Source organism: Homo sapiens, chromosome 1 (assembly GCF_000001405.40).
Source record: "Homo sapiens chromosome 1, GRCh38.p14 Primary Assembly".
NCBI classification, from domain to species: Eukaryota; Metazoa; Chordata; class Mammalia; order Primates; family Hominidae; genus Homo; species Homo sapiens.
This window is the reverse complement of record NC_000001.11, coordinates 232395746-232414591: the sequence shown is the minus strand read 5'-3', so window position 1 is coordinate 232414591 and position 18846 is coordinate 232395746. Positions and strand designations below refer to the sequence as shown.

Genomic DNA, 18846 nt, shown 5'->3' with positions numbered 1-18846 from the left:
TGGAGGCGCCCGAGTCCACTGCTGCCTTCTCAGGCCTCAGGGCCCTTCCTTCTCTTTCTCACTCCCCATTTCTTTTCCCTTCTCAGTCTCTGCTAGCACAGCCCCATCACCTGTGACACCAGGCCTCAGGAAACAAAATCAAATTCTTTTCCCAGGAGGGGAGGTGCATTTGAAGTCAAAATGCGGAAGGTTGAGGGTTCACTGCCCCTCATCTGTGACTAGCGTAATGCGTTAGGGAGGCCCGATGGTGGCTTCGCTCTACCCAGCTGGTATCAGTGCCTCTGGTCCTGAGCCTCTGGGAACAGGAGTTGGAATCCACTCTCAAGTGGACACAGGGGAAGTAGGTGAAAGGCAGCTTGCTAGGAGGAAGCTTCTGCAACATGAATGTGCGCTCACTGCTCCCTAAATGGAAGGAACGAGACTGCTTTCTTTACAAACCACTCAGTCCTTGTAGAAATTTCAGAAGAGCCCTGTCTGCCTGTCTGCCTTGTGGGGAGACCCTCATTCTCTGATGCTACCAGAAGTTAGTTGCATATTTTAGAAGCCCCAGGCTGGTGGTCTAGTTGTTTCCTGGGCTCCCCATGCTTCTAGCACTTTCTTGGGCATGACCCAGCACCAGAGCACAGGGACGCTGTCTTTACCTCTGTCCAGAGCAACCCAGAGGGGAGGTAACACCATTTTCTCTTTCCCTGGGGTGTTCTTTACACACTACAGTCTCTCACTCTGACCAGATCTTTCTGCCCCAGGAGAGATTAGACCAGAGATAAGATCTCTGTGTGGCCTCACTGTGTAACTATCTGCAGAGTACTGAACGCACTGAATTCTGCTTCATTCTCATGCCTGTCTCTTAAGAGATGAGTTTCTTAAGAGAAGGCTGCCTCTTTTATTATTTTATCTGTATTTGTCAAAAATACATATCAAGATAACCAAAGGAGAAGCGCTAGTAACAAGGAGTAAGTAGGTATTCAATACACACAGTTTTACACAGCCCAGAACTATCCCAGCTCATAGCACAGCTCTCAACCTCTTATATCCTTTTGCATTTTGTGATCACCTTTCAGATTTCAAACAATATTTATCACCTTATCTCTGTATCTACCCTTGTTTATGTCTTTACTTGGTTCCCTTCCACCCCTTTCAAATGTTCCTTCAGAACAGAATGACTGCTAGAAAATGCATTTTTTTTTCCAGGGGATTAGAGAAGGCAAAATGGTGCATGGACTGAATGATCAATTTAGGGATTTCGGTCATAACTTCAGCCATTTCTGGGCCATAGGCCTTTGGACAAGTCACTTAACTACTATGACATCCACACTTTGTCCCAATACTCTTCTAGGTCTTTTACAAATATGAACTTGGTGAATGTTAAATAGTAATCCTTTTGGACATGTGCTGAATTAATTTGGGCTTCAGTCTTCTCATCTGTAAAATGAAGAACCAAAGAACCTGTAAGGAAAGCTTCATCTAGTCCTAAACCTCTAGTTCTGTGGTTTCATTATCAACAAGTATTTCTAAGCTGAAGTAAGAGTATGGGTGGTAGTTGGCACAGAAGGGAAAAAGTATGACATGGAAATTCTCCCTAGCCAGTGCCCTCAGGTACATGAATGCCTAAATTAAACAGAAAATAATGTAATATTCTATTTGCCAAAGGAGAAGACTTTGGTTATCTGAGCTTTAACATTGATAAAATAATGTGGAAGGAGTTACCACTGACCCCTAACATTGATAGATAAAATAATGTGGGAGGAGTTAGCATTGACCTCTAACATTGATAGATAAAATAATGTGGAAGGAGTTAATGACGTGTTTAATTTTTGATGCTGCTCCATAGGGTGGCATGTCATGGTGAGACAGTAGCCAGCTTATGAAAATTTGGTTGAGTATGTGTACCTCCTTTGGCTAATCAGGTTCCCTTGTATCAGTGTTGCCTCAGGTTGTATCCCAGTGACCTGCTCCCCTGTCTCGTGAGTTGCATGGTGGTGATGAGCGTGATCAATCTCCTTAGCACTTTTAAAGAGAAATGTCTTCAGGTAGATAACCCAGTTGCCCTGCTCATAACTTTATCTTTTTGTACCAGTTCTCAAGGCCATTTCTGAGCTAGAGTAAACATTATAAAGAAAAGATAACCCAAAACATGTCCATGTACTTGTTTATGTTATTGCTGCAAACTAACAAAGGCAGTTCAAAAGGCTTATTGCCTCAGACTTCCTTGGAATAATCCTGTGCCCCTATTTCAGTTAGTATATCTGAAAATAGGCTTGGAAAATGGAATTTACCTGCCTATTGGATTGAGATCCCATGATCCCTATAAAATCCAATAGTGTAATTGATCCCTGGCAGACTTGCCTCTCCCCCATTAGTCTACCTCGTTTATGCTACACATTTTGGCATATGATATGTTCACCTTCATTTAAGGGCTAAAGTTGACATTGGATGCGAGTTTAAGAATTTAGATTTTACTATACCACTATACTATACCAATTTAGAGCAGAGGCACCAAATTAAGCTGTCAAATCATGACTACTTAAATGTTTAAACTCTATTCGTGCAAGGACCATAATAAATGGTATAGTTGTGGGTGAGAGTCAGGTATTCTGTGCATAAGGACTCAGTAAGCTCCCTCCAAAAAGGAGGCGTGTTTCCAGACCACATTGCTGACCATAAGGCAGTGATAATAGAATTAAATAAGAAAAAGAGAAGCAAAACACAAAAATCTGACCACTTAGAAAGTTGTAAATGTTACTGTAATAATAATTATGCTGGGAAGAATTAATGAATATGACAAGAGCAATTTTTTTAGGATCATGAAAAAGATGCTTTGTAAATCTGGACTACACCCAGAGAGAGGGTAGCTTTTAAAGAAAAATATGTTTCAGAAGCATTTATTTCAATGGCAAAAAGGGAAAATTAACTAACTTAACTGTACTTAAAAAGATTCCACAAAAACTGTGAAAGAAAAACACACAAAGAAAAGGAATGAAGTAAGTTGTAAAAAAAAAAGCAACTGGCAATTGAAATTACACTGCAATTTATAAATAAAACTAACAACCTGAGTTTTTCTTTGAATATTGATAAACCAATAGCAAATTTGATCCAAAATATAAAAAAGTACAAATGAACCATGTTAGAAAGGAGGTTAAGTTAACATGAGAAGAAGACAGTGGGACCAAAATGACCTGTGCAGAACTGTGCCATCTCCCTGCAGAGGACAGTGGGTTCTGCCTTACCCCTCAAACCCCAGATACCTCTAGGATAGGAATGTTATTACCTCTCCCTGGCTTGGATTATGGAGACCTCGTGATCTTTTGGGGTCTTGCACTCCCCACCATAATGCAAACCAGGCCAGCCTGAACCATAAAATCTGGTCAAGACGAGACCCTGTCCTTACTAAAGAACTTGGTTTCCTGTAAATCTAAATATGTAAATGTACAGTATTAGCTGTAGAGGCAGAAGGAAACCTGTCAAAGGGCAATCTAGAGATGCAAGCTCAGAACACCCTCCTTAATTCACTGTAGCACATACACACTGCCTGCCCAGCTTGGCTGATCCCAGTTGTGGGGCTCTTTATTTACCCAGAAAATTTCTTTTCTGTCTTTAATGGTATAAGATGATGCACTTGATCACTTAATTTTCTGCAAACCTTGGCAGGCTACTTGGCTGGTTCCTTCTGCACAAAATACTGGTATACCACCCTAACCCCTAGCTTCTGGCCCCAAGTGGATCTCAGTCCTCTATATTTTCTAATTAATATGTTCTCTGGGTGACATTTTAAAAAAGAGACATAGAGATTTTTTTAATTACTAAGGAACGTCAAGTAGCTATATAGGAATACATTTGGTGGATAAGGTACTTAGATTATTTCTTGCAAGAAAACGTTGCAGGGAGCATAAGAAACGGTCAAAGGCCCAGGTGTGGAAGGCATTGAAAAAGTCACCCAGGAATATCCCCAAATACCAAATATATTACCTGAAAATAATAAGTTTACAGTTAATTGTTTTCAGAGTTTCAAAGAGTAATGATGCCCTTGCGTATATATATATATATATTTTGAAATTCAGAAGCAGCCTTCTTGCATGATAGGATTCTTTCCTGATAAACACGTACACACAGGAAAGATAATTATAAGACAATCTCAGTCTTTAATATTAGTATGAGAAAGCTTAGATGAAATTCAGTAGTAAATTGAAAAGATTATTCATTGTTATTGGCAAGAGTTTAGTTTAGTAAAAGAAAAACTTTAATTAAAAAGTTACAGTAGGTGAAGTAATTAAAAGCTATATCAATTTGTCCCAAAAAAGTATATCTAATAGAATTAGAACCTATTTCTTCAAAAATTAAGATTTGAGAGATACCCCCAAAGACTAATATCTACTTTATTTCAAATGGTTACATAGTACTTAATAGAAAATGTTTATAAGCAGATTGCTTATGTCCAGAAACTAAGCAAGTGTACTCTTTGAGACCGTGCCCTTTAATTTTTATACTGGAATCTTTGACATTTAAACAAGGAATGCAAAGAAAAAAAGGGATAAATGTTGGAGATAAAAGAAATTTAGATAGGGTTTTATACATAGAAAATACAAAAGATCAAAATGAAGTTTAATTAGAGATTATAAAATAGGTAAAGTAATTAGATATTTTGAAATATATTTTTATAAGTATAATTTCAAAGTGTTATTAATTTTTTCAGTTACCTATTGCTGTGTAACAAACCACCCCCAACATTTATGGCTAAAAACAACAATAGCTTATTATTTCTTATGATTCTCTGGGTTGACTAGGCTCAGCTGGGTGGTTCTTCTGCTCCATGTGATCTTAGCTGGGGTCACTCAGGCAGCTGCATGCAGCTGCAGCTCAGCTGGATCTGGAGCATTAAGGAGATTTCACTCACCTGTCTGTGTCTGGAATGGCTGAGGCCTAGTGGGACCCCTGCCTTCAGTAGAGTAGTTATATTTATTCACATGGGGGCTTAAGGAATTAGAAGAGCAAAAGCAGAAGTTCTGTGATGTCTTAAGGCCTGGTTTTGAATGTCCCAGAACATTATATTCACCACGTTCTATTTAGGCCAAAGTAGTTCACAAGGCCGGTATTCCAGGGGTGCAACATAGACTCTACCTCTACCTCTTGATGGCAGGTGCACACAGGGAGGAGTTGTTGGCAGCTGTCTTTGGAGACAGCTTTCCACTGTAATAGTCACAAGACACCTTAGATATATCAGTAAGATTGAATTAACATGTTCTTTGAGAAGTAAACCATCGGAAATATGAGAGAATTCCAAGGAACGCTTTAATATCTGAAAAGTCTTAATATGTAAGACTAGAAATGGATAGAAAGCTTCATAGTAAAGATGACGGTGCTTCCTGAATTAACTTGTAGAGTTAATGCAATTTCAAGAAAAATAGTTGAAAAACTAAATTTGCCTCCATTTGGAAAATAGGTAAATGATATTCAACCAAAAGATCTATTATAACTTAATAATAATTAAAACAGCATAATTCAAAAATAGGGATAAGAATTTTTGAAGAAAAATTAAGAGCTCAGACAGAAATCTGAATATAAGAGTTACATGGGTAAGGAATTTATGTATTCCATTTGGATTTAGGTATTTAAAAAGTCAACTTTAGAAAAAGTAAAAGTAAGATTGTGGTTTTGGAAGCAAGATTATGCTTTAATTATGGAGTAGTGAGAGAACATACAGAATGTAATATGGTCAGATAAAGGTATTTAAATATTTAGAATTATGGGAGCCTGAAAGAGAATATTAAAATAAAAGAGGAAATATTGGACTTTAGGAAAAGATTTCTAAAGAATGTGATAGGTAAAACCAGGATACCTAAAGTACGTAAAGGAACTTACCCAGCAAAAAAACACCAAACCCACAGTAAACAAATGGTCAAGGAATGTGAATATAAATTTCACAAAAGACAAATGCACAATAAATAAGAAGGTGAAAAATGTTCAACCACACATGTAAATTTAAAGAATAATGAGTTACCAGCTCACACTTTTTGAATATGAAAAATGATACAATAACTCTAGGAAGCTATGAAGAATACTCACAGCTGGTATCATTATAAAGATTATAAAGTGATCCATCTTTTTGTTCAGCAATATGATAATATGTTACTACTGCCAGAAAACTGTACCCACCTTTTAACCAGAAATCTAATTCCTGAGAATTTGCTGACAGAAAGTTATTAAAAAGAATTAAAAAGCTTCCAATAGAAAAATATTGTGCATTTAAAAAAATTAATAAGTGATCAAATAACATATCTCTACCCAAACAGTTTAAAAAAAAAAAAACAGTCCTTCATAGGTCTAAGAAGGCAAAAGTAAGTTGGATGCCCTGTGCCTCCCCCATGCTGTAAGGTCAAGTTTGAAAAGCTGGCGGAGTCACATTTTAGACTTTGTTTTAATGTATGCAGTTATTTTGTTTGTTGGAGGGCAAAACATGTCCTTCTTACATGTCAGAATTCCTAAGTGAAATTGGTGGTCTGTCTAGTTCAATAAGATCATAGTTTTGCCACCCTGCAGTGCTTATCATACCCTTTGTTACGTAGAATCATGTCAAGTTTGGGGGTACCTGATAATGTATATAATGGCTTTCGTCCCCCGTTAAACATGGTAATGGGAACAAACCCGACCAGAAAACCTGGCTATGGGTCAAACAGTGAAGCTGGGGAAGGGAAGTGGAGTCTCTTCAAAAGCTCTAGGATTTTGAGTAGCTCTCATTCATCAGAATATCAGAAAGAGGCAGTTGGTGTGTTTTTAGCATTTGTTGAATGGATAATGTTGTTTTCAGTGAACATAGGCTTCAAAGGTAAAATCACCAACTAGTGATCCTAGACTCTGGATTCCATGTTGCTGCCCCACGAAGGCCTGTCCTCCTAGGTTTCCAGACTTCCCCAGTTGGTGGTAGAGATCGCCATCTTCCCATAGCTGTTTGGGAGCATGGACGTGTGTGTGCTCCTGTGCAAATATCAATGTGAAAGACACATGCAGAGTTAACAATTCACATTCCAGGCACCACTGTGGCAATGAAATGCTCCACATAACCGTATTTTCCAAAAATTCAAAGTCTGTATCTTTAATTTGTTGTGTTCTTTAGGCCCTTGGTTTCTTAAACAGAGCATAATAAACATCCCTTTTTATGATGAGAACTTTTTCTGTTATGAAGCTTCAGCTTAAAGTTGATAAAGTTGTTACAGTTATTGATATTTGACCACTGTGTGTATGAGAGAGTGTGTGTATATAAGTATAAACAAAATGTGACTTACTGAGTAACTCCTAGTGGTAACATAATTAGTGGAAAAAAAAATGGAAAGAAAAATGACTACCACATGGGTGAAAAATGCAAAGTCAAATTTGGAATAGTAAATCCATTTAAATTATCTCAAAAGTAAATTGAAATGGTTTCAGGCCAATGCAATAGTTGTTTCTTAAATAAAGAATAATTTCAGGACTTTTTCTTGTTAATTACTCATAGGCAGATACTAGACCATTATCTTTTTACATGCATGGATGGGCTTCCAAAAGTCTAAACCAGAGAATTTTAGGTGGAAAACAGTACAGTGCAGCCTTTTTTCCTTTCCTAGTGGCCAGTTAAGTCAGTTTTCTGCAATGCAATAAGCACAGGTGTCAGAATCAAAACTTTTAATTTTCTACATGTAGCTACAAAACCCTACTTTGTCTTTAGTTTGCAGTTCTAACAAAGACATATTAGAACAGCTTTATTTGTGGAAATAGGTTTAATTTCAACTAGCCTCGTACTTGGATGTTCCATCTGGCATGTATCTGGGGCAGGCACTATCGTTCTATTCCTCACCCTCAACAGACATGACGCGTTGATCAGACCATTCACCCCCACCAGTCCAGCCTTGGCCTTATGTTGGACAGACATAACACGTTGATCAGACCATTCACCCCCACCAATCCAGCCTTGGCCTTATGTTCAACAGACATGACATGTTGATCAGACCATTCACCCCCACCAATCCAGCCTTGGCCTTATGTTCCTGGTGCTGCAGGCATCCTAGACGGGGTCATGGGAGTGACTTGCAGTCATCTGTTTTGCCATCTTGGCTCTAGGATATGGAATAGCCTGTTGACTATTCATCTTGTTTAGTGTTAAATGCACTAAAAATAAGAAACTGACATTGAAATAAGGTTTTTTAAAAGATTATTTTAAAGGATGGATTGTTTTGTGTGTCAGCCATGCCCAGCGTTCCACCTTAGCCAGATCTGCTCACACAGGAAAGAAAACCGAAGGGGCTCCACGTGTGGAGTGTGGGTGATTGGATCTGTACCAACCGTGACCACGTACATGAAGCTCCTATTCTTGTGCCTGTCTTTTCTGATGGTTTTGTTGGTGCCATTTGATTCTATCTCAGTAATTGCTTGATTATTGAATATTTATCATCAGAAATAAGCTGAAGGGGCATGAAGCTTCCACTGGAAACTGTCTCTAAGATTAGCTATTTTATAAAGTAGCTTGGTGTCTGTACTTAATCAAATAGCATCCTCTTTGCATTTCAGCCTCCCAAGCTTTTCAATTCCAAAGTGAAATCCTGTTTGTGAAATTACATTGCTGGCAAAACTCTAGTTTTGGCTTCTTGCCTCCTGACCAGTAGGACCCTGTTTCTCCCTAGGGGATGTCTGAATGACTGCCTGTAGGAAATTCTGTTTCTGTTAAATATGTGGGTATTTTATCAATTAAGGTAAAAACAGATGAAGGAAGCTAAGGCATGTTCATCCATGTATTTAGACTTGACCACCAGACCCAAATACATTGAGAAAGAAACATAACTGAATTATCACTGGCTTGCATAAAACAAGGATGAGTCAATGAAACTCCTAAAGAGTTAGACAAATTTTTATCCATTTTCTTTTCCATTCCTTTTCTGGTCAGTAAAGTCACTATGGAATAAAAATATATCTCCTAAAGATTTTTTAAAATGTGATGTGTTCCCATATTCTGGGCTCTTTACAGAACAGAGGGTTATGTTGGACACCACTGCAGCCCAGACCTCCCCACCCAGCCCCTAGAGCAGCTCAAGCCCAGCCAGGATTCTGCCCCCAGCTCTGCTGTGCAGGTCACATCATAGTAGAAGTTGGCAGGGCCCCAACTATGTTGTTGATCTTAATTAAATAGCAAATTACTTTATGCAAAAAGCCTACTATGCAGTACCAAATTGGTAACATGATGCTCAGGAATGTATAGTTATAGAATGTTTATCATCTTATGGAAGATTCGATGTGTGGAGCTTTACAGAATTAGTTGAAAGACATCTGCCTGCCTAGGGCAGGTGTGTTAGCAAATGGAGCCACATGGATGGAGAACTCTTAATGCAATCAGTAGCTGGGTGCACTCAGGAGGGCCCAGGCCTCTGTCAGGGCACTGACGGTGCTTTCAGCACCATGGCCACAGCCTACAGCCTTGGCTTTCCTTCATATGTTCCTGGCAGCTTCAATGTGACCATCCTTTTTAATTAACTGGAAGTGTATGACCTGCCATAAAGCAAACAAGCAGGTAGCCTCATTAGGAGGCTTGTCCAGCAGCCAGAGGGAGGCAGAGTGGGGTAAATTAAGAGTGGAGCACCCCTGACACGGATCCAAGTGCAGTCTCTCCAGAATTAACCAATTCATAGGAAAAGGACTGCCACAGCACTAACACGCCTGCTGTATACCTCAGATTCCTACTGTAGATACATAAGTGTGCTCAGAAACCAAGCAGAGAGACTCCAGGGAATGAGGGTGAATTGATCATGGAATAGATTGCGAGGTTCTCACTTCCATGTGGTTCAAAAACAGAATATTTTCCTGCATGCCATTCAGCATTTCTGGATTGCTGTTCTTGGTCAGTGCTCAGCCCCCAGAGCTGGGCCAGTCTGGCGCCCATTCTTAAGACTATTCTATTCCCTTTCCTTCCGACCTCTTAAAACATTGAATATTAAGTTCCTAGTGCCAAGAATAAAAATGTCCTTGTGCTAAGATAAGGCATTGTAGTCATACTGATCATTGGTGCTACTGCTATACATACTGAGCCCCTCAGATCTTCCTTTAAGGGTTTCTAGTGAGATTACTTAGCTAATCTCTCTTACCACCACTCTCTTTGGATTTGTGGAGTGAGTCATTTAAGTAAGCCCACAGTTGTGTATGCTCATGGTTGGATCCATGTGTGTATGGCATACCACATGTCTTTGTTGTACCCTACAGCCCCGCTTCCAACCAACAGTGAAAACATGAAATGTGTCATCTCATTGCATTGGAGTTACATGATACTGGCTCTCAAGGGTTTCCCCTGGTCCATCACACACACACACTACTTCACACAGCCGCATTTTGTGGGCCCCCGAGATTCTCAAGTATAGAGAGATACTCCTGTTCATAGGAAAATTCTAAATCTTATTTCAGGTCTTGACTCAGATGAAGAACTGGGGCTGCTCTGTCACCACACGTCCTATCTAGGTGATTGTCTGGGGCTGCTCGTTGGCTCCTGATATCCTGTAACCTTTTCTGTATATTTCATGTGTCTGCACGTCTGCATGGTTATTCACGCCCTGAGGGTTGGGGGTGCACAGCGGGACATGTGTCCTGGCTGTTCTGTCTCCAGAACCTTCTCCGGGTTTGGGGAGAACTTGAGAGAGAGGTCCCTCTCCTTTGTTCTGTCAGTCGAGTCATTATCCAACTATTATTTCATGCATAGCCAGCAGCTTTGGCATTTCTTGGGATGTGGAAAGAAGAAAGCAAATTGGCTGTAGCAAATCCAGTGTCTGCTAATTGTCCCCATGGCTGTGATGTGCATAGGCCATACAGCCCAGTAGGAGGACAGCCAATCTCCATGCTTTCTCCTTCTCAGAAGCTTGCCTGAATTTGTTTTTCTTTGTTTTGCTCCAAAACAAGGCAGTAACTGGTTTGAAGGGGGGAAAAGATTTTATTTAGCTATTGCATTTCCACAAAGAAACATTGCCTTGCATTGATTACTAACCCTTCTTTCTGTGTGTGTTTCTCCCCTCCCCAGACCAGAGGGTGGCATCCTTCTGCACCCTGACAGATATGCAGCATGGGCAGGACCTGGAAGGGGCCCAAGAGCTGCCCTTATGTGTAGATCCAGGCAGTGGCAAAGAGTTCATGGACACAACTGGGTATGTGAGCCCCTGTGGACCCCTCCCTCCTGCTGTTCCAGGCATGATTAGCCAAGATTCGGCTAACCGACTAACCCTGAGCCAGGCGGGCGACCATATTGCACCATGCCCTTTCCCAGTCCTGAAGAATCCAGAGAAGGGACTGAGTGGGACTACTTGGCTCCCTGCCCTGCTGTGGGAGACCGCTCTTGGCTGCATGACCCCTCTGCTCCATGGGCACACCCTGCCTGCCAAGACTTGTGACCCTGTGCCCATGGTGACGAGCCTCACTGTCAAAGAGGGCAAGAAGAGGCCTCAAGGTCAGCGTCTGCTGCTGAATTACTGCAACAGCACCATGCAGGGATAACTCGCCGATTGGCCTTCCACCTGCCAGGCTGCACATGCTCACCAGCCCAGGGCATGGCCCCTCCCAGAACCTGGTCCTTGATCCAGCCTCATGCCCTCCACTGAAATATGTTGGGAACACCCCACTCTTTCCCCTATATTCATGACATGTTCATTCCCCGTGAAATGTGTATTCTTTACCTCTGTCATCCATTCTTAATTCCAACTTCTATGTGAGCTGAATATAGAACTTGGAATTAACTTCATTAACTTGCATGTTCACATTGGTAACGAGCTTCATAATATTGTTATCATAGGGAAAGGCAAATTGGGGAAATTGACTGGTTCCCAGGACTTCATTTGGGTCTTCCTTGTCTCCATTGGATAAACCAACTTAAATAATATATCTTTTGTTTTCCTACCAACTCGTATATCTATAGAGTTTCTGCATCTCTTTTTAAATCAGTAAAGTCCCAGAATGGGCTTTCCACTAGATCAGCAATATGGACACTTTCCCATTCTGACATAATATAATATATCTGCTTGCTGGGCTCTAAGCACATGAAATAATTTTTTCGAGTGAAAACTTGACCAACAAAAATGCTCGATTGACTCTCTTGAATCTTTCTAATTCTATCCTTATTTGCTAGGGAGCGTTCTCCATCACCACTGACCGGGAAAGTCAATCAGCTGGAATTAATTCTTCGACAACTCCAGACCGACCTTCGGAAGGTAATCAATTGGAAGAGCATAATCAGAACTGTTTCTCTTATAAAATCAGCCCCTTATAACTACTACAGATAAATTGAAAAGACTCAGGAAAGAAAACTGCCTTACACAAAAACCAATGATAAATACCAACAGATGCTCCTGAGGTCTCACTCCATCTGCTGACCTGCAGCTGATGTATTTCATTTTGTGGGATGCAGGGATCTCAATGGATATGAGTAAATGAGGATGAGCCCTTGGTGTGGCAAATCTTCAGTGTGTAGTAGAAGCATGGTGGGCCAGCATTTTTTAGTTCAGTGAGTTATCAGTTGCGCCAACTCTGTATGAGATGACCTCAGAGGAGTCCATTGCTGCCAGAAAGCCTGGTCTCTATGAGTCCTGTCCTCTGTCTTGAATCAGCTTCACAGCCCTTAGAACTTCTGCTGTACACATCAACCTGCACATGGTCTGTCCTCAAAAGAAATTAAATTCTGTATCCCACAAATACTTGGCTGAGCTCTGTTCCATCAGCCCTGTGCTGGAGAGCCAGTTGGCTGTCCAGGGAAACGGAATGGGGTGCGGTAGCAAGCGGGAGGGCATCACAGGAAGGTTTTTGTTGTGATGGTTTGGTTTGGTTTGGCTTATGAAGAAGGGAGAAATTGTAGCTGGTGAGAATGCTGAGGAAAGGATTCAGTTGGGAGGGAAATTATGATGAGGGTGAAGAGCAAGTGGGTGGAGTTCTGATCTAGTCACAAGGAGGGAGCTGGCCTTGGATAGGAGTAGGGACAGCTCATACATAGTTACCAGAGTGGAGCAGAGTATGTGTGCACATGTGTGTGTTCATATATGCACATGTTCATTCACATACACAGGGTCCAGACAGAGATGTTGGCAAATTTCTCTGATTGTTTCTTTTCTTTCTAGTCATGAGCTAAGAGTGGTGGGAGTATAAGAGTTTTGTGGATAGCGGATATGGGTGCACCACAGCGTGTAAACCAACCGGGTTTAGGAGACTTGCCCAAAAAAAGCTAAAGCACGTTTGAATTTGGAGCATAAATTAAAGCGATACCTGTTTTCCTGGTCGTGTGTTTTTTCCCCAGCTTGGGTGACCAGCTGTCCCAGTTTGCCCGGGATGGAGAAGTTTTCTAGGATGTGGAAGTTTCCATATTAGAACCGGCAAAGTCCCATGCAAGCTGGGATGGCTGGTCACCCTATCTCCAGCTGCAAGTGTAGAACCGTTGGAGAGTTGAATTTAGCCAATATTAAAGTTTAGACGGGAAATCAAGACGAGAGAGAGAGAGAGAGACAAGGACCCTGGGGCGTGTACAGGGCATGAATAAACCAAAGAACCTGGAGTCCAGGCTGGTTGAAGAGAAATAATGTCACTGCTGGGGAATGGCTGGGTTGGAGGTGTTGGTGGACAGTGAAAATAAGAGTAAGATTGATAAGATTGATGGAGTCTATCATTACTGGAGGAGTGGATACTGGAGAAATTATTTTTAAAAGACTGGAGGTGGTGGTCAAGAAGTAGGAACTTGAAACTTTTAGGAAGAGGTGCAGTCATTGACAATAGCATGGTATAGGATGTGGTCATGGGAGTGGGGGTTGAGGAGGGTGGGGTTTGAAGATCACTGAGAGAAAGCGATGGAGAGGCTGAACGGCCAGAGTGTCAGATGGAATATCTCAGTGGATTCGAAATCATCAACACAGATGACAGGAGTGGGATGGGGAGAAAAGAGCAAACCAGGTTCTAGAATCTTCCCGTAATGATGGTTGGAACTGGGGATACAGTAGATAATTGCAGCCAGGAGGGGTAGCAGGTCTCATGACCTAATGGCACGTTTTTTAGAGGAGCTGGAATTGTAGGAAGTAGTGGAGATCTGGCCTGAACAATAGAGGATGCACTGTCTGCCTGCCCGACCCCCATAGTGAGCTGCTGGGGACGGTCTCCTCGGGAGGGAGCCAGGATTCACTTAGAGCACGAAGACGAAAGGAATTTCAGGAGAGACTGAGCGTGCACAAGGTCTTCTTGGCAGAATCCAAGTTCATGGATCACAATAAAAGGTTTGCAGGGATGTGGAGAGGTGGGCAGCCGAGTCGCAGCAGAGATGTGCTGAGCTGTGGGACTCAGACTGTCTTGGGACTGAGAGTCGTGGTGAGGAATGTCCGGGGAGAGTCAGTATCCAGGGTGGGCTGCAGCTGCTTCTTAGAGTGAAGTGAGTCTATCCAGGGTGGGCTGCAGTTGCTCCTTACAGCAAAGTGAGTGGTCAGCTCTGATTCAGGCCTCCTCTGAGGACCAGTGTCTTTTGGGCCAGTGACCAGGCAGGTGGTATTGAGGAGGGCCTTGGAAGGGCTCAGGAAACGAGGAAGCCTTGAGGGCAGGACCAGATATGCCAAGGGTGGGGGCGTCCACTCACCTCACTCAATGCTCCTGCACAGTGCTGGGGGTGGCATGTGGTGGCTGTAGTGGTTGAGTTAGATCCCGTTACAGAAATACCGATTATTACAATCTGACAGTGACCCCTCTATTCATTTAGGGCAAGGCATCCCTTTCAGCAGGGGGGGAACTGAAACTGCTGCTATACATTTTTTTATTGCTACATGTTGGAAACTCCAGATGTGATTCTTCTGAAAGTCTTGATTATTTTTACACAGTTTTTAATAGCAGATTTTAAGGGTCATTATGGAAATATAGTATAGCAGGAAAGCTTGATGGAATGAAAGACCTAAGTACATATTTTATTATAAACATATGTAACAGCTCTGCTAATTCCAATTTTCTACTTAGAAAGTTTTGTGCATTTGTCAAAAGGGTATTACCTTTAACCTCCCTGTAGTCTCCCTTTTTTGGATAGAGGGTAATATAAACTATGATGAACACCCTTCCTATATAAAGGCTATCTTAGCACCCCATGGGAGCAGAGTGGGATGAAAGAACAGGGTGTGTGGAGTGTTCATTCCCATCCCTTTGTCATCAGCAGGAATCAGGATCAGAAAAGTCCCCTCACTAAAGAAAGTCACCCCTTCTCCCCTCAAAAAGTACATAAGTAAAAATAAGAATCAAAGATTCTCGTAGCCCAGCTTAGGAGGAATGAATGTATCGATCAGTCTCCATGACTCAGTTTATTTCTGCTCTGACCAGGAAAAACAAGACAAGGCCGTTCTCCAAGCAGAAGTGCAGCACCTGAGACAGGACAACATGAGACTGCAGGAGGAGTCCCAGACCGCGACAGCTCAGCTGCGGAAATTCACAGAATGGTTTTTCACCACCATCGACAAAAAATCTTAGCCAATCCGCACCTCATCAAGGGACCACTGGGAAATGCCCCTTGTCCCTTTGAAGTCACAAACATGTGGTTTTTCTGTGTGCTTTCAACCAATCGTAGATGTTTTTGCTGTTCCATTCTGTGTAGCACCATTCACCACAGCAGGATAGGGAGCCTCGACTCTTTCTCGGTAACCACGGCAGAGAGCAGCGCCGATGTGAAGATGAATGAATGTAACTCCTGGTGTGAAGATGAATGTAAACCCTGGCGACAGTTGAGACCTTTTTCTTTTAGACTCTGCTAAAACAGTGCTCTGGCTTGGGCTTACCTCAAGAGGGAAGATAGTTGAGTTTTATTTCCTGTATATCAGGTGACCTGGTAGAGATGTAAAGCAATTTACCATAGTTTGGGCTTTAGTATTGTAAAATAAACATGAGAACAAATAATCAGACATATACTTTAATGTTAAAGGTGCTCTATTTTTTTGGATGTACAGTAGTTTTATTTCCACAGCCACATTACCATAGCAATAAGAAAGGAGGCATAGTACATAGTTGGAAAAGCTTTGTGGGGGGATTAAAAAAAAAAAAAAGCACTGTTGTGTTTAACACTAGTTCAGATGCAGTTACCTTAGAGACTTATTTATTTGCAGGAACAAATGGTGCCTGAATATTAACAGTGTTCTGATTAAAAACAAAAAAAAGATACATATGCCTTGTAAATGGCTCACCGAGTGGTCAGTAGTCACTTCAACTCTTAGTTCACTTTTGTATAGTTGCTCTGCTGGAAAGAAATGAGAGTGAATCTGCTTACTCACTAGAACTTCCCTGTGTGCTGTGAGCCAGCGGAACCACTTGTACAATGCCAGATTTGTTTATCTTTGTACAGAAGCTTTGATGAAGTGTCTTGTATTTAACACCCTTATTTAAGCTTATTTAACCTTAAATTGTTAATTTTATAAAATTTGGTTTGGCCTGCACTACGATGAGGGATGGAGGTAGCTGCAGGCTCAGAAGAGACTGAGCTTGCACAGATCAGACCGAGAAGCAGGGTGAGAGATTCTAACGACTGGATGCTGCTAGTAACACATTGTTTGTATTGCTTTACCATTTTTAACTGTTAGATTTGAGATGAACATACATTTTGCTTTTTTAATAAATGTTTAAAAGAAGTCCACATAAGAAATGGTGTTGTCAGGTGACTAGATTTTTTGTGATCTAACATGTCAACAGTCTGACTGTATGTGAATTTATTTCAGGTCATTTAGAACCTTGATTTGTATTAAATACTGTTCAGCTCCTTTCTCATAGAATCCCAGATCGATTTCAGGAAGGAGTACCTAGCAGTTTTTAATAGCTGCTGTGTGGCGGACACTATTCTCTGAACTTTTCATCCATCTCATTTAACCCCAATGGTATCTATCCTTCATAGGTAGGAGGTGGGGTTCCCATTTACAACCACATGAACTGTGGGTCAAGTGAAGTAATTTACGCAAGACTGCCTTTAAAAAAATAAAATAAAATAACACTTTGGTGTTGCCAGCACTTTGAGAGGCCAAGGCGGGTGGATCACCTGAGGTTAGGAGTTCAAGACCAGCCTGACCAACATGGAGAAACCCTGTCTCTACTAAAAGTACAAAATTAGCCGGGCATGGTGGCACATGCCTGTAATCCCAGCTACTCGGGAGGCTGAGGCAGGAGAATCCCTTGAACCCGAGAAGCAGAGGTTGCGATGAGCCAAGATAGCGCCATTGCACTCCAGCCTGGGCAGCAAGAGCGAAACTCCATCTCAAAAAACAAACAAAAACAGTAAGAGTTTGAAAAATTATCAGGAAGAGGTAAACTGTAAATTTGAATCCAATGTAAGAAGACACAAAACATAGATCCAGGTGTGAAGGGAAACACTGTAAGGTCCATTCCTCTCAACCTTTGAAGAACAGAAAGCATATCAAGAATTCAGAGGAAGCAAACTGACTCTTAGAATTGGCCCCAAAAGGAATTTTCCATATGGGCTTCACATGAGAGGCATATTGAACAATTAACATTCTCACAGTGGATGTAGCAGTAGGCTTCCTAAAGCTGTTTCATGCAGCTGCCCTCTATGAAATGCACAGGTGCACATCCAAAATTTGCAGCCAGGGACTGGAGATTTTCAGGGAATAAGGACCTTATGGGCCACATAGATACTGTCCTTCCTCCCTCCTTCCCTTTTTTTTCTTTCCCATCAGTGTGAACCAGGCAGCATGCTAGGAGCTGAAAATCCAACAGTGATCAACCGGTCAGGGCCCCTGTGTGCACAGGCATACAATCTAATATGGGGAGACAGACATAAGATCACTTCAAAACATGAAAGACAGAAATAAAAGTACCTGCAACAGGCTACCTTAAGTAATTATTATAAACACTGATACTGTTTGAATAGCTCCTGGGTGCCAGGTCCTGTTGAGCTTTGTGTTACCTACCTAGCAGCCATGTGAGGTAGGTGCCATCATCACTCCCCTTTTTAAAGATGAGGAATCAGGACCTAGATAGGGTGGTCCATGGGTAGACGAGGGCACATGAGGTTCAAAGTCCCTAAGGTTAGTGTATTCAAGAAGTCTAGCAGAAGCCAGGACGTAACGGAGGGTAGAGTGGAGGGAGATGTGCTTGAAGAGATCAGCAAAAGCCACACCATGAAGGAACTGGAGGCCATGCTAGACTTTGGATTTTGTTCCAAGTCAAAAAGAAGCCATTGAAGCAGGAAAGATGCCTGATGAGAGCTCTATTTTAAATGGATTATTCTGACTTCTAAAGCAGAATGGACCATGTAGGTCTTCAAACTTTCTGTGTGGGGCTTTTTCTGCAAACGAACGATTTGAGGCCTTGGGAGTCACTGACTGCCTCTGTTGCATATTTTCAAATTTCTATTTAATACCCTTTAAAGATGGTAAGAGTCATTCTTAGCTTGCAAGACCACACAAAAACAGGCCACTCACGAGTATAATTTACCAATGCCAGGCATAAGGCAAAGTACACGAGGAAGACCAGTCTAGGTAAGAGATGGTGTTGGCACGGCCTGTGGTAAGGCAGTGAAAGTGGAGAGAAGTAGGTAGGCTACACGTGAGAATGTATTTGGAGATAGAGCCCACAGAACTGGGTTGGAGACGAGTTGGAAGGGTTGGATCCAGGGATACGCCCTAGACTTCAAAGGAATCCATGAACTGCATGTTCATCAGACGGTTTTCCAGAAATATCTCTTGCCTTTAGTAAAGGCTTAACAACAAACAGTTATGCTCCTGGCAAGGGCCTGGAATACAGCTCTCCTGCGTATTTGATCAAGGGTGTATGCATTTGCTTTAGAGCAACTAATCAGGTGGAAAGGTGGACATCATTTAGAGAAAATAAAGGAATCTGACCAAAACCTAG

General features: G+C 41.7%; 1 protein-coding gene across 11 annotated transcripts in view, besides 4 other annotated features; it reads left to right on the top strand.

Moving 5' to 3' along the window:
• SIPA1L2 (signal induced proliferation associated 1 like 2) overlaps window positions 1-16627 on the top strand; it is a 232532-nt gene extending 215905 nt beyond the window's left edge. For 9 of the 11 annotated variants that reach the window (XM_017001896.2, XM_047426142.1, XM_005273213.5 and 6 more), the window contains 4 exons: window positions 10414-10467; window positions 11021-11144; window positions 12119-12200; window positions 15319-16627. In XM_017001896.2, the coding sequence (XP_016857385.1) occupies window positions 10414-10467; window positions 11021-11144; window positions 12119-12200; window positions 15319-15465 (407 nt within the window). In that variant the 3' untranslated portion in view covers window positions 15466-16627. The remainder of the gene's footprint in view (window positions 1-10413; window positions 10468-11020; window positions 11145-12118; window positions 12201-15318) is intronic. The other 2 variants (NM_001377488.1, XM_047426145.1) reach the window with 1 other exon arrangement.
• Window positions 3812-3981: an enhancer, noted in NCBI's record as "experimental_6018 CRE fragment used in MPRA reporter constructs". NCBI's record gives its function as "activates a minimal promoter by MPRAs in K562 erythroleukemia cells, with activity observed for the non-introgressed 1:232546442 variant allele {active_cell/tissue: K562}" and the evidence as "EXISTENCE:reporter gene assay evidence [ECO:0000049][PMID:34662402]".
• Window positions 6548-6717: an enhancer, noted in NCBI's record as "experimental_5991 CRE fragment used in MPRA reporter constructs". NCBI's record gives its function as "activates a minimal promoter by MPRAs in K562 erythroleukemia cells, with activity observed for the non-introgressed 1:232543706 variant allele {active_cell/tissue: K562}" and the evidence as "EXISTENCE:reporter gene assay evidence [ECO:0000049][PMID:34662402]".
• Window positions 9943-10112: an enhancer, noted in NCBI's record as "experimental_5966 CRE fragment used in MPRA reporter constructs". NCBI's record gives its function as "activates a minimal promoter by MPRAs in K562 erythroleukemia cells, with activity observed for the non-introgressed 1:232540311 variant allele {active_cell/tissue: K562}" and the evidence as "EXISTENCE:reporter gene assay evidence [ECO:0000049][PMID:34662402]".
• Window positions 10842-11011: an enhancer, noted in NCBI's record as "experimental_5949 CRE fragment used in MPRA reporter constructs". NCBI's record gives its function as "activates a minimal promoter by MPRAs in K562 erythroleukemia cells, with activity observed for both the introgressed and non-introgressed 1:232539412 variant alleles {active_cell/tissue: K562}" and the evidence as "EXISTENCE:reporter gene assay evidence [ECO:0000049][PMID:34662402]".
• Window positions 16628-18846: the final 2219 nt, after the last annotated feature.